Here is a 12399-nt window from a genome sequence, read left to right as displayed (position 1 = left end):
AATCACTGTGGTGGTCAGGGGCCTCTGAGCCCATGGTGGGCACTCAGACCAGGCATGAGCAGCTCAGCCCAGCCGAGGCTGACCCCACATCCCACCTCCCCCCAGGCCCCTTGCTGGTTGGGGTCCTGGGTCCCGTCCCACAAGCACCCTCCAGGACTGGGTTTGCTTCTTGACTCCCGCATCTTGGCTGATGAACATTGGGAAGGAGCTGGCCCTGGGACTGATGGAGACGTAGGTCTGGCCACAGAGGGGCCAGGTGAGCAGCAGGGAAGTAGGGGAGTACGGGGCCATGACTGTGTGATCCAGGTGGGACAGTGGGTACCCTCAGGGCCTGGGCCCTGAGAACTCAGTGGGACCAGGGCCATATGCTCAGAGGCTGGACTGACCCCTGGGCAGGCCACATGCCTTGCTGGGCAGATAGCGGCTGGGGCCCAGCTCATACAGCCTTCTACCCTCCTCCCCACCACACATCCACTCATCCACTGGCAACTGTGGCATGGGAGGCTCCTGCTGGGCTTGGGGATTCCATAGAAGTGGACCAGATCCTGGCGACCTCCTGCTCCCTGGACCCGGCTCAGTTCTGCTCCTGCAACCTCTCCTGGCACCCTGTTTCATCCCAGGTAGGTCCTAAAGAGCCAGAGGTTGGGGAAATTACTTTAGGGTCACAGCGAGATTTCTGTGACAGCCAGTAAAGTAAGCTTTCTGTTTCTGGAACCAGATCCTGGAGCCCAGGACCCCTGTGGGCTGTGTATTGTATGTTTTTCTCTTTTAATCACCAGATGAGGTGAAGGGCAGGAACAGGAGTGTGGCTCACTCCCAGCTGAATGACCTCCTGGCCGAGGCTTGCTCCCACCAGGAATTAGATAAAAGAACAAGATTATACTCCACTGAGGTGGAGGGCAGGGTATTAAGAATATATGACTTGGCAATAGACAGTCCCAGGTTCAAATCCCTGTTCTACACAGCCTTGTGATCTTAGGGAGGGGGATCACCAGGAAACAAGCAATTCGAGAGATGAGGCTCTGAATGCGTTCTGTCAATTGTGCAGGCCAGGTCGACCCCAGCTCCACCGTCTACCACTGTGCAGCTTTAACTGAGAAGTGAAACCTCTCTGACCCCCAGTCTCTTCTTTTGCAAAATGGGGGTAACACTTCTCAAGAGTTTTTACCAAGCCTGCCAGGGGCTTGGCACTGTGTCTTCACATGGTAAGTACCCAATAAATGTTAGCTGTGAGCTCTGTGGCCTGGACGGGTAATGAGGAATGAGCAGAGTTTATCTTTGAGTTCCCACCTCTTTGTTCAGTAAGGAGGGCTTAGCTGGTCACCACCGCTGCACAGGGATGCCACAGGGAAGCAGCACCTCGCTCAGCATTCTGGAGCTCTTGTTCCGAGTCAGCCCTAGGGCATCCTTGACAATGGCACATTTTGGGAAGAACACACAGTGTGTTTCCAGGTGGTTTGGACCGTAGTTGGTGTTCTGTGCCTTCTCCCTTTGAAACGTACCCCACCCTCTGCACCTGCTCTTCCTGCCCTCCCCTTCCAGCCACCCCGACCCCACCCCCCAATGCAGCCTTGCAGGGTCCTGAGGTTCTTGCCCTCTCCCCGTGCTCGCCACAACCGCTGACCTGGACACCGGCTGCCTGGGATGGGGGCAGCCTCCTCTCTGGTCTTTCTGCCTCTGTCTCTCTCACTTCCCACACTGTCCATAGCACTAAACACCAGACATCTGGGTTTGGGACTCAGCATCCCCTCCTAGGATGGTTTTCAGGGGTCTGGGCTACCTCACCCCCAACTTTTCCAGGAGGGTCCTTGCTATGCCCCCATTTTGCTCATGTTGACCTCCCTCTCCCCTCCCACTCAGCCTGTTGAGGCCAGGCGCATCCTTCGTGCCTCAGTTAAAATGTCACCAGCTCCGTGAAGTCGGCCTTCAGTGCCCAGGCAGAATTAAGCATGCTTGCTGTGCATGCCCACGATGCCCAGCACATTTGGCGCACTTGTAATGACCGCTGTGTGGCTGCCTCCCTCTTGTTCTGTAAACTCATCCCGGGCAAGAGTCAAACAGTCCTAAAATGATGTGGCATCAACATTTTCTGTGCTACCTATGTGGCAAGCATCGTGTTAGACGATTCTGCGCGTCATCTGACTCAGTCCTCAGTGACAGGTCCGGGAAGTTGAGGGGGATGGGGGTGCCCTCTCCAGGGCCACCTCCAAAACATACCATCTAAGGTAAACAGGGCCCTGCATGCAATTGCGGCTTCAAAAGCAGCTTTCCCTCTCAACACCCTGAAACCAGATCACCTCCCTCCCCCTCGCTTTTCCTCATCAGAAATTCTGCAGCTGCCCGGGAAGCCCACGAGATGCATCCTGTAGTTATCTAGTTTTGCAGGTGAAGTAACTCAGTCTGAGAGAGCTCAGTAACTCGCCTGAGGTCAGGTGGCAGAGCTGGGATGGAACGCCACCATGGCAGCTGCTGTGAGCCATGCGTGGTCTGCACCCCAGGGCTGGGCTGCCTTTCTGTGCCCAGCTCAGGGCTCCGCACCCAGGTTTGCCAAGTGGAGGGTTGAAGTTGGGACTCCTGAATCACCCCACATATAGGTGAAGATCACTTGGGGCTCCAGTGGTGACACCGTGGTCCCTGAGCTCCATGTTTGCAAATGTCAGAGCCAGCCTGGGCCAGGAAGTCCCGTTCAGCTGGGAATGAGCCACACTCCCATTCCCTTCTTTCACCTCATCCGGAGATTAAAAGAGGAGAAAAAAATACAATACAGAGCCCACAGGGGTCCCGGACTCCAGGATCTGGTTCCAGAAACAGAAAGGTTACTTTATTAGCTGTCACAGAAATTTCACTGTGACCCCAAAGTAATTTCCCCAGAGAGAGGCAAATCTCCAGGAGCCAGGAATAGACGAAAAGATTATTGCTCGCCCCGCTGGGCACACAGCGCCTGCATCCGGTGCTGGCTGGAAATCGAGCGAGCGGTGCTGGACGGGTGCCGACCCCCTCCCTTGCAGCAGAGGCCCCTGGGAAACACAGTCTTGACCGGCGGCAGGGTCGGGGCTGGGCTGCCCTGCAAGGGCTGAGACCGAGGGTTCAGAAGTGGATGCCTGCCTTCCTGCAGCGGGCAGAGGCTTTGAAACCAGCCCTGAGCTGGAATCCCATCTCCATTAAGCTCTAGCACTGGGGCCCTAAGAAAATGATACCCCACAGCCCTCCACCATCCCAGGCCTCAGTTTCCTCAGCGGTGAAGTGGAGATGTTGGGGAGGCACCGGCCTCTAGAGGGGCACAGGTAGGGTCAGATTCTTCCCTCCCTCAGCAGCACCAGGGCCAGAGCCCCCCACTGTCTCCAGATTACCCACCTGGGATGCAAGGCCAGGCGCCCAGCTGGGGTCCCAGGAAGAGCGCCAGTGGAAGGCCCCAGGGAAGGCCCCAGGCTGGGGCTCAGCTGCCCCTCCTCTCCTTTGATCTTCACCCAACCTCACCATTTTACAGATGAGGTGTGAGGTTCAGACATGTGAGAGTCCATGCCTGTCACACAGCCGCCCAATGTCCAAGTCCTGGTCCAGGCATTTTGCCCGAGGCCACCGTGCTGCAGGGGCGCTGTCCTGGTGGGACCATGTGTGGTTGCTGCATCTGTCCTGGAGAACAGTGCCTCGGGGCCAGTGAGTACGTGAGGAGGAGGTACCCAAGAAGGCTGCAGAGGCCAGCAGAAAAGCCCAGCCTGCCACTGACCCACAGTGTGACCTGGGGCATCAGTGTGTGACCTGGGGCAGCCCACTTCTCTAAGCCTTGATTTCCCTATCTGGAAAGTGGAGAAGATGACAGTCGCTGTTTCCTGAGGCATTGGGAGGGTGTGTGAGTGTGTGCGCTGCCATAACAAAGTACCAGTTGGGATGGCATCAACAATGGACATTTATTTTCTCAGGCCCGGAGGCTGGAGCTCTGAGATCAAGGTGTGGGCAGGGCTGGTTTCTCCTGAGGCCTCTCTCCTTGGCTTGCAGGTAGCTGCCTCTCCCTGTGTCCTCACATGGCCGTCCTTCTGTGTGTGTCTGTGTCTTCATCTTCTCTTGTTGTAAGGACACCAGTCCTGTTGGATTAGGACACACGACCTCATTTTAACTTAATCACTTAAAGTTTCCATCTCCAAAAACAGTAATCTCCTAAGGTACTGGGGGTTAAGACGTCAATATGTGAATTTAAGGGGGCACAATTCAGCCATTAACAGAGGGTTAAATGAATGAGAGTGTGGTAAAAATAAGTATTTGGTATTTATCCCTGGTTCTGACACAGAACTCTAAAATCCTTGGACTATTCAGAGTGATAGGAGTGTCTTTGTATGTAATGACGTGACTGGTGGCTCAGGGCCCCTGGAGAGCTGCGGGTCAGAGGACTGGAACTTTCAGCCCCACCCTCCACTTCTGGGGTGGGGAAAGAGGCTGGAGGTTGAGTTTAATCACCAATTGCCAATGATCTGATCAACTGTGCCCGTAGTAAAGCCTCCATAAAAACCCTCAGCAACGAGGTTCCGAGAGCTTCCATGTGTTAGGAGGGTGGCGACCCCACCCCAACTCCACAGGGACAGAAGAAGCTCCTGCCTCAGGACCGCCCTAGACACTGCCCTGTGGACCCCCTCATCTGGCTGTTCATTTGTATTCTTTCTAAGCTGGTAAATGTAAGTAGGATGTGTTCCTGAGTTCTGTGAAACACTCTAGCAAATCACCGAGCCTGAGGAGGCGGTCGTGGGAGCCCCTGATTTATTGGCAGTTGGTGGCCCAGAGCTTACAGCTGGGTTCTGCGGTGGGAGCAGTCTTGGGGGACTGGGCCTTAAACCTGCGGAGTCCATACCAACTTCCAGTAGTGTCAGGATGGAACTGAACTGTGGGACTTCTGGTTGGTGTTGGAGGAAGGAGGATGGAAAAGACACCATTGCATTTGGTGTCAGGAGGGAAATAAACCTCTCGGAGAGGGAAACCAAGGGAACTCCAGCTACCATGGTCTCAGCAGTCCAGGGCTACCAGTAGTAAGGGGTGTGGTGGATTCGAGTTGCCAGAATTGGTTGGTGGGTGAAGGGAGCTCTGGGGAGTCCTAGTGACCACTGCAAGGGGGGTAAGGACCAAACAGGTCAGCAGAACAGCTGAAAGGGAGCCTGTGCCCAGGACCTCAAGGAAGAGCAGGGGAGGGCCCTGGGGCACTTGTCCCAGGCAGGCACTCAGCACGACTGTCCCAGGGCTGGGCCCTTACCAGCCCCAGAACATTGGCTTAGGGGTTCTTTGCCTTCTACTTCCTTTGGCTTCTGCCCAGCATCCTCTCCCTGCTTCCTGGCTTGAGTCTCTTCAGTTGGAGGGTGACTGAGGCCTCGCTCAGTCTGCAAGCCCAGCTCTGGGTGTTTCCTGCCTCCTTGTTCTCTGCTTCTTTCCTGCTCTGCTCCATGTGACAGACCCTGAGCCCTGTAGCTCCTGGGTCTTCTGACTTCCTGCCGGGAGCGTAGGAGGCAGGCGAGAGGGTGGGGCAAAGAGAAATGGGGTATTTCTCCCATATTTCCTGCCAGGGTCCCCACAACCTCCTGCCACTTATCACTCCAGCTGAGGGGTGGTAGTCACTATCTGCTGTTGCAAACCTGTGGGTCATTTAAAATGTCCTCTGTTTGGCTTTTCAATTCCTCCAACACCTGTGTAACGAGCCGTCTGCATTAAATTCCCTCTGTTGTAATTCCTTGGAGTGCTTTCTCTTTTCTTAGTTGGACCTCGTCCACATGAATAAATGTGAGGACTTTTTCCTGAAGGCTTTGAAATAAAAGGAAAGGGTTCTATAAGTTACCTTGAAGAATGCTGCAATGATTCATTGTAGCCAGAGTCCTAAAACACTCAGGGGACGTACCAGATTTTATTCCAAGACCTTACAAGCAGTTTGCAAAAGCCCCTTTCTATTTCAGCAGGACTTTTAACTTCTTAGATTTCGCATCAGAACTGGTAAATCATTTCTCATGGATTTCTGTTCTTTGCCCAGAGAAAGTCTGAGTCAGAGATTTTCCCCCATCCCGTGTTTAGTCTACTTAGCCAAAGTGACCACAGACAACTTTGATATGACTCTTCTCCAAGTGAGATATTTCGTGACTGCCAATGTGTGACAATTCAAGAAGGTGGCTGTATTAGTTTCTTGTGGACGCTGTAGCAAATTATCACAAACTTGGTGGCTTAACACAACACAGATCTAGTCTCTTAATGTTCCTGAGGCCGGAAGTTTGCAATGAGTCTTTTGAAAGGCTGAAATCAAGATGGTGGCAGGGCAGCTTCCTTCTGGAGGCTCCAGGGGAGAATCCGTTCTTTGCCTCTTCAGCTCCTGGCCGCTGCCAGCGTTCCTTGGCTTGTGGCTGCATCACTCCAGTCTCTGCTCCATGGCCACATCGCCTACTTCTCTTCTGTATCTGATCTTCCACTTTGACATTTGTGATTACGTCTGGGGCCAAACTAATCTAGAATAGTCTCCCCGTCTCGATATCCGGAACTTCATCACATCTGCAGTTTCTGTTCCCACAGAAGGAACCATTCGCGGGTTCTGGGGATTAGGGAAGGGCTATCTGTGGGGAGCCACTATTCTGTCAACCGTAGTGTCTTTGGGAACTTCACCATGGCAGCTGTGTCCCAGAACAGTCTGTGTGTGAAGAGGTGTCTGCCCCCAGAACGAGCTTTCCAAAACCAGCTCTGACCAGGACACACCCTGCGTGTGACAGGAGGGCAGTTCCTGAGTTTTGCAACCCCAAGCCCAGCTCCCCACTGGCAGCCTGGGCCCACTGGCCTTCCTGGGATCCTTCTCATGCCTCTGTCACTGTCATTCAGCATCCTCAGCCCACCCACTTGCCATCCCATAAGCTGGCGGTGCTCCCTCTATGTCTTTGCTCACACCGCACTTACTGCCTGGGGCTCTGGTCTCCCTCCCCTGCCTGGAGAACTCTGCTCCTCCTTCCTAGCCCGTCTCCCTCTGGCATCTCTTCCTCCACCATCTCCCTGCCCTGTGCTCCTGCAGCAGGCCGCTCATGTCTTTACGTCTGTATGAACTCACCCAGGGCATCACGTGAGGGCTGTGGGATGCTGCCTGACTCCCAGGTAGGGACTCACCTACCTCTGTACCCACCATACCTAGCAACCACAAGGCACCACCTATGCATGGCTGGGAGAGAATATCACAGACCCAGATCCCAGGGTCTGGGACACAGCACTCAGAAAATGTGACTAGTGTTGAATCAAGCAAATGGATTATTTTGTTCTCATTTTATCAGAATGCTCTATTTCCCAAGTTGCCATTGAAAGAAACCATCCAACTTTGTTAGTTTCCTTTCTCAGTCTCCTACCTGGACATCAGGCAGGAGCCCAGTATTCTCTGCACGCTCACACTCTGTGCTCACTCTGCTGCGCACGTCACACGTGGACATACATGGATCTTTCCCACGGAGGTGAGAGCCAGGGTATTGGCAGCCCCTAGGAAGAGAGAAGCTCGCCTCTCACGAGCACAGAACTACTCTTCTTTCCTTGTCTTCCCACGTCCCATTGTGTCCTTTCCAGGGGACTATGAGCCCCAGGATGGAATTGTGCAACTGGTGCCATTGATGTCCTTAGGAAATCGGAACCCGTTTCTGGAATTCTTGACAGTGAGTGGCAGAATTCCAGTGGGCAGAGACCCAGGAACCTGGGGCCCCAGTGAAGTCACCTGTGTGTCTTTGTTAATTGCTTGCATGGGAGAAATTCCTTATGGGGTGTGATCGTTCTCGGGAGACAGGAAATGAATGTCCAATCAAGATAATGCAGCATATTCTGGATTAAGGTCTCGAAGTGACAGTTCCACCCAGAAGTTTCTGGTGCTCTTAAAAGTTCAGCATGACAGGCTGAGGCACGTGGGTCTTTCCAGGTGCACCTCAGGGGACAGAGTACCTGGCTGACCTCCCTGGCTGAACATACTTCCTGGGGACAGGTTGTGAAAGCTGACTCCAGAGCCTGCCTGGACAAGGAACATGAAAGGGCGACCCTGCACAGGGAAAGGCACGGTCAGTGGGGACAGAACTGTAGCAGAGTTCTAGCCATGCCTGGGGAGTGGTGCAGAGGGAGGTGGGGTTAGAGCCAGGCCATAGGTCAGGGAAAGGAAGTAGGGCCACACTGTAGACCCTCTAAGCAGAGGCTCAGACACTTGGACGGTAGCCAGTAGGCCATGGGGAGCCATAGAGGGTGGTGCAGGGAGGGACACAGTCAGGGCCATGTGCTCAGATCCCTCTGGCGTCAATGTGGAAAATGAGCTGGGGGAGGCAGTAGGGAGTGTGCAGTGTCCAGGCGAGAGTGCGTGCAGCCTCACCAGGAAGACCAGGAAGCGGCACTCAATGAATCTACATTTTACGCATGAAAAGAAGGGAGTGAGGGGAGCCAAAATTCTGCATTCATCTCCCACTCACTAAATCTACAGTTTACACAAGCTAAAGTAAGCATGCGACACTGCAGCTATCTGTTTGGGAAGAAAAGGAAGGCAGTTTTTGCCTGACTCAGTTTCTGAGCTTAACTTTCGCTTTGGCATGGTGAGTTTGAGGTCCTGGCATTTTGTTTTTCTTTCACACCGTGAGGCTCAGGCCGGGGAAGCAGGGCAACTTTCTCTAGAGGAAGGCAGAGGAGGGGCCCTTCGCTCGTGGGGTGTGGAGGGGAGGCCTGTGGTGTGGTGTGGGGTGCTGGGCTTGAGGTAGACGGGCCTGGTGGCGCCCCAGCTCTGCCCTGTGACCTTGGATGAGTCCCGGCCTTTCCCGAGGCGCATGCCCCATCCACTGCAGGATGAGGTAATACCCACCTCCCCAGGCTGTGAGGAGCTGTAAAGGCGCTGAAATGCCCTGGTGCCTGGCATGGGGCCCAACATACCTAAGTATTTGCCTGGCCCTCCCCGCACCTGGTTTACAGAGCAGTCGCGTGCCCCAGCCAATCACGAGCAGAAAAGAAGGTACACCCGCACCCCGGGTGCTGGGCCTGGGCAGCACTGGGGTGTGGTAGGGTCTCAGGACACTCACGGAGGGCCTGCCTGTCTGTGTGCGGGTAGGGAGCTGGCTTGGAAACAATAGGGAGGCAAAGGCAGCCCTGCCCCCACCCCCACGAGGCACCACTCCAGGGGCAGAGTTGCTTGCAGACCCTGCTTGCACAGCCCCCATCTGGGCAGATGAGCAGTTAAAATCCTAACACTGAGCCCAGTTCAGGAACAAAATGAGGCCCTGAAATGAATGATCACAGGCCAAGAGAGTGACAATGTCCTGGAGAAGCAGAAAACATCCTGTCCCCAGCCCAGCCCCAGCACACAATCCGGGCGCTGACATAATGAGGTCAGGAGAAGAGGCTGCCATCCTGGCTCGGGGGCTAAAAAGGCCTGGGCCGGGCAGGGGCTGCCAGCCAGGAGGAGCATCCAAGAGGCCCCGCTGGGCACCCTGCCGCGGCTCCTGGACACAGAGCACAGGCCCAGCTGGCAGTCACTCCGGACACTCACTCAGTCCTTGTCACAAGGAGTTCCGAGCAGCAGAATGAGGAAGGGGCCCTGGAAGCTGCCCCTGGTTCCCTGTTATCTTGGTAGGTTTTGATCCAGGAAGGCTCCTCCTCGTGCAAAGAGCTGGCTCCATGGTCCTGCAGGTTCTAGAGGGGATGGCCAGCCTCGGGGACTGCCCAGGGCACCTTCTTGGCTGGAGAGATGGCATCTTGGGAAGCCAGAGACCCTTCTCCCAGGAAATGCCTCGGGGAGCCCACAGCAGAAGGCTTGGTCACCTAAGGGGACACGATTGCTCAGGACTTTGGATTCCTCGTTCTCTTTTCCCTGTGATATCTGAGCCAGTGAGCATAGATGTGGGCTTTTGATGATACCCTCATTGCTGGAAAGGCTGGACTGGAGGAGAGGGCTTGGACCAGAGCCAAATTGGCTTCCTAATACTCCTTCCTCCCTGGATCAGGGATCAACATCCCCCACCAGAGGGTACATTCCTTAGAATTAATAAACCAATGACATGCCATCACCCAAACTCCACAGTTAACATTAGGGGACCACTCCTGGTGCTGGACAGTCTGTGGGTTTGGATAAATACACAATGACATGTATCCACCATTATAGTATCATACAGAATAGTTTCACTGTCCCCCAAATCCCCCGTGCTCCAACTATTCATCCCTCCCTCCCCCAGCCCCTGGCAACGAGTGATCTTTTCACCATCTCCATAGTTTTGCCTTTCCCAGAATGTCATCTAGCTGGAATCACAGCATGTGGCCTTTTCAGATAGCTTCTTTCTCCTAATAATATGCATTTAAGCTTCCTCCATGTCTGTTCCTGGCTTGAGAGCTCATTTCTTGTCAGCATTGAATAATAGAATATTATTCAGTGCTAAATATTATGTAGCTAAATAATATCCCAAACTGTGGCTGTACCACAACTTACCTACCCACTCACCTACTGAAAGACATCTTGGCTGCTTGCAGGTTTGGAAATTATGTATAAAGCTGCTATAATCATCTGTGTTCAGGCTTTTGTATGGACATACGTTTTCAGCTTCTTTGTGTAAATACCAAGGAGCAAGATAGCTGGAGCATATGGCAAGAGTATGTTTAGTTTTGTAAGAAACTGCTAAGCTGTATTCCAAAGGGCCTGTACCCTTCTGCATTCCCACCAGCAATGGACGAGGCTTCCCAATACTCCACATCCCTGCCAGCATCTGGTGGTTCAGTGTGCTGGATTTTGGCCATACTCATAGGTATGTAGTGGTATCTCATCATCATTATTATTATTTTTTGAGACACAGTTTTGCTCTTGTCGCCCAGGCTGGAGTGCAATGGTGTGATCACTGCAACCTCTGCCTCCCAGGTTCAAGCAATTCTCCTGCCTCAGCCTCCCCAGTTCCTGGGATTACAGGTGCCCACCACCATGCCTGGCTAATTTTTTTGGTATTTTTAGTAGAGACGGGGTTTCACCATAATGGCCAGGCTGGTCTCGCACTCCTAACCTCAAGTGATCCACCTGCCTCGGCCTCCCAAAATGCTAGGATGACAGGCGTGAGCCACCACACTGGCCTCATCGTTATTTTGGATCTGCACTTCCCTGATGGCATATGATGGGCAGCGTCTCTCGTATGCTTATTTGCCATCATCTATGTTCTTTGATGAGGAATCTGTGAAGGCCTTTGGCCCATTTTTAACGGGGCTGTTCGCGTTCTTATTGTTGAGTTTTAAGAGTTCTTTGTATACTTTGGATAACAGTCCTTTATCAGATGTGCCTTTTGCAAATATTTTCTCTCTCTCTGCGGCTTGTCTCACAGTCCGGTCTTCAAATGGCTGCTTCGGATCCCGCAGCAGTAGGGAAGTTGGTGGGGTGGCAGGCTGCAGGGGGTGGTGTGCGGCATCCACCACTTCTGGCGGCTCATCTACAGGGATGGACCACAGCCAGAGCAGGATCTGCGCCCGGATGGCAGCACAGAGCGCGATCGCAGGTGGAAGCTGGTCTGTGTCCGGCAGTGGGACATGCGTGGGAGTGTGCACGAAAACAGGGTGGCCCAGGCATTCCCAATGGGGCAGCCACTAGACATGGTAAACACAGAGGTGAAGAAGCAACACAGAAAAACGTGGGTCATCTAATGAGGAAGGGGAGAATGCAAGACGAAAAGCGATGAGCTGAAGTTGAGACTAAGAGGGCATTTGCACAAGGCTGTAGACTAGGTAGGAATCCACAAAGATACGGAGAATTCTCTTGGGTTGATGGGCTTGAGGGTGGGTTTTTCTCTTTTTCATTTTTCAAACAGTGGATAATGGTCTTATAGATCTTTGTTTATGAAATAATTATTTGTATACAAAATGCCTGATGTCTAACATCTCTGCTGCCTTTCCTGACCACACTAAACGGAGACTTCTACAAAGACACTGAAGGAAGCGGCAGGAATGTGAGCCCCTTTGGTTGCCCCCCCTGCTGTGGAGAGAATAGAGGAGGGAGTTCCCACCTCAGAGGTGAACTCAGGACCCCACCGTGGCACCTTTTCTGGGTGTGTGTTCACCGGAGCACAAGTCCATCGGGAGCGGCTGGCCCCCAGCCCTCTGAGCCCCATGGGCAGGCAGTAGCAGAAGATGCCTCTGCCACGGCACTCTCAAGACACAAATTCATCAGGCTCTCCTGGTTAGTCAATATCAAAGCATCTTTCCAAGTAAAAGCCGAGAGCAGATAGCAAGACAGTCATTGGAGGCAGATGCTGGTGCACTGCAGCCATCTTTGAAGCTGCAGATGGCCGGCCTGCCATTCACCGCGGCTTCTCCCAGCCCCTCCAGTTGCCGGCAGACCCAAACTCTGCATTCATTGAGTACCACTGAATGCCAGACGTGTGTTGGCCGGTTGCACCACTGATATCTCGTTTGATTTCCATACAT

The 12399-nt window shown here is 53.5% G+C and overlaps 1 protein-coding gene across 11 annotated transcripts in view, besides 1 other annotated feature; it reads left to right on the top strand.

The window, feature by feature from the left end:
- The window catches only part of COL23A1 (collagen type XXIII alpha 1 chain), a 352776-nt gene that overhangs the window by 152419 nt on the left and 187958 nt on the right, over positions 1-12399 (top strand). The gene's annotated exons all lie outside the window — the stretch shown is intronic.
- Positions 332-835: an enhancer, noted in NCBI's record as "H3K27ac-H3K4me1 hESC enhancer chr5:177864141-177864644 (GRCh37/hg19 assembly coordinates)". NCBI's record gives its function as "activates a minimal SCP1, AML or CMV promoter by ChIP-STARR-seq in naive H9 embryonic stem cells {active_cell/tissue: H9 hESC(naive)}" and the evidence as "EXISTENCE:reporter gene assay evidence [ECO:0000049][PMID:30033119]".

The sequence above is a fragment of the Homo sapiens genome, chromosome 5, assembly GCF_000001405.40.
Source record: "Homo sapiens chromosome 5, GRCh38.p14 Primary Assembly".
Classification (NCBI taxonomy): Eukaryota; Metazoa; Chordata; class Mammalia; order Primates; family Hominidae; genus Homo; species Homo sapiens.
The sequence above is the reverse complement of the archived record's forward strand: the minus strand, read 5'-3'. Positions and strand labels throughout refer to the sequence as shown.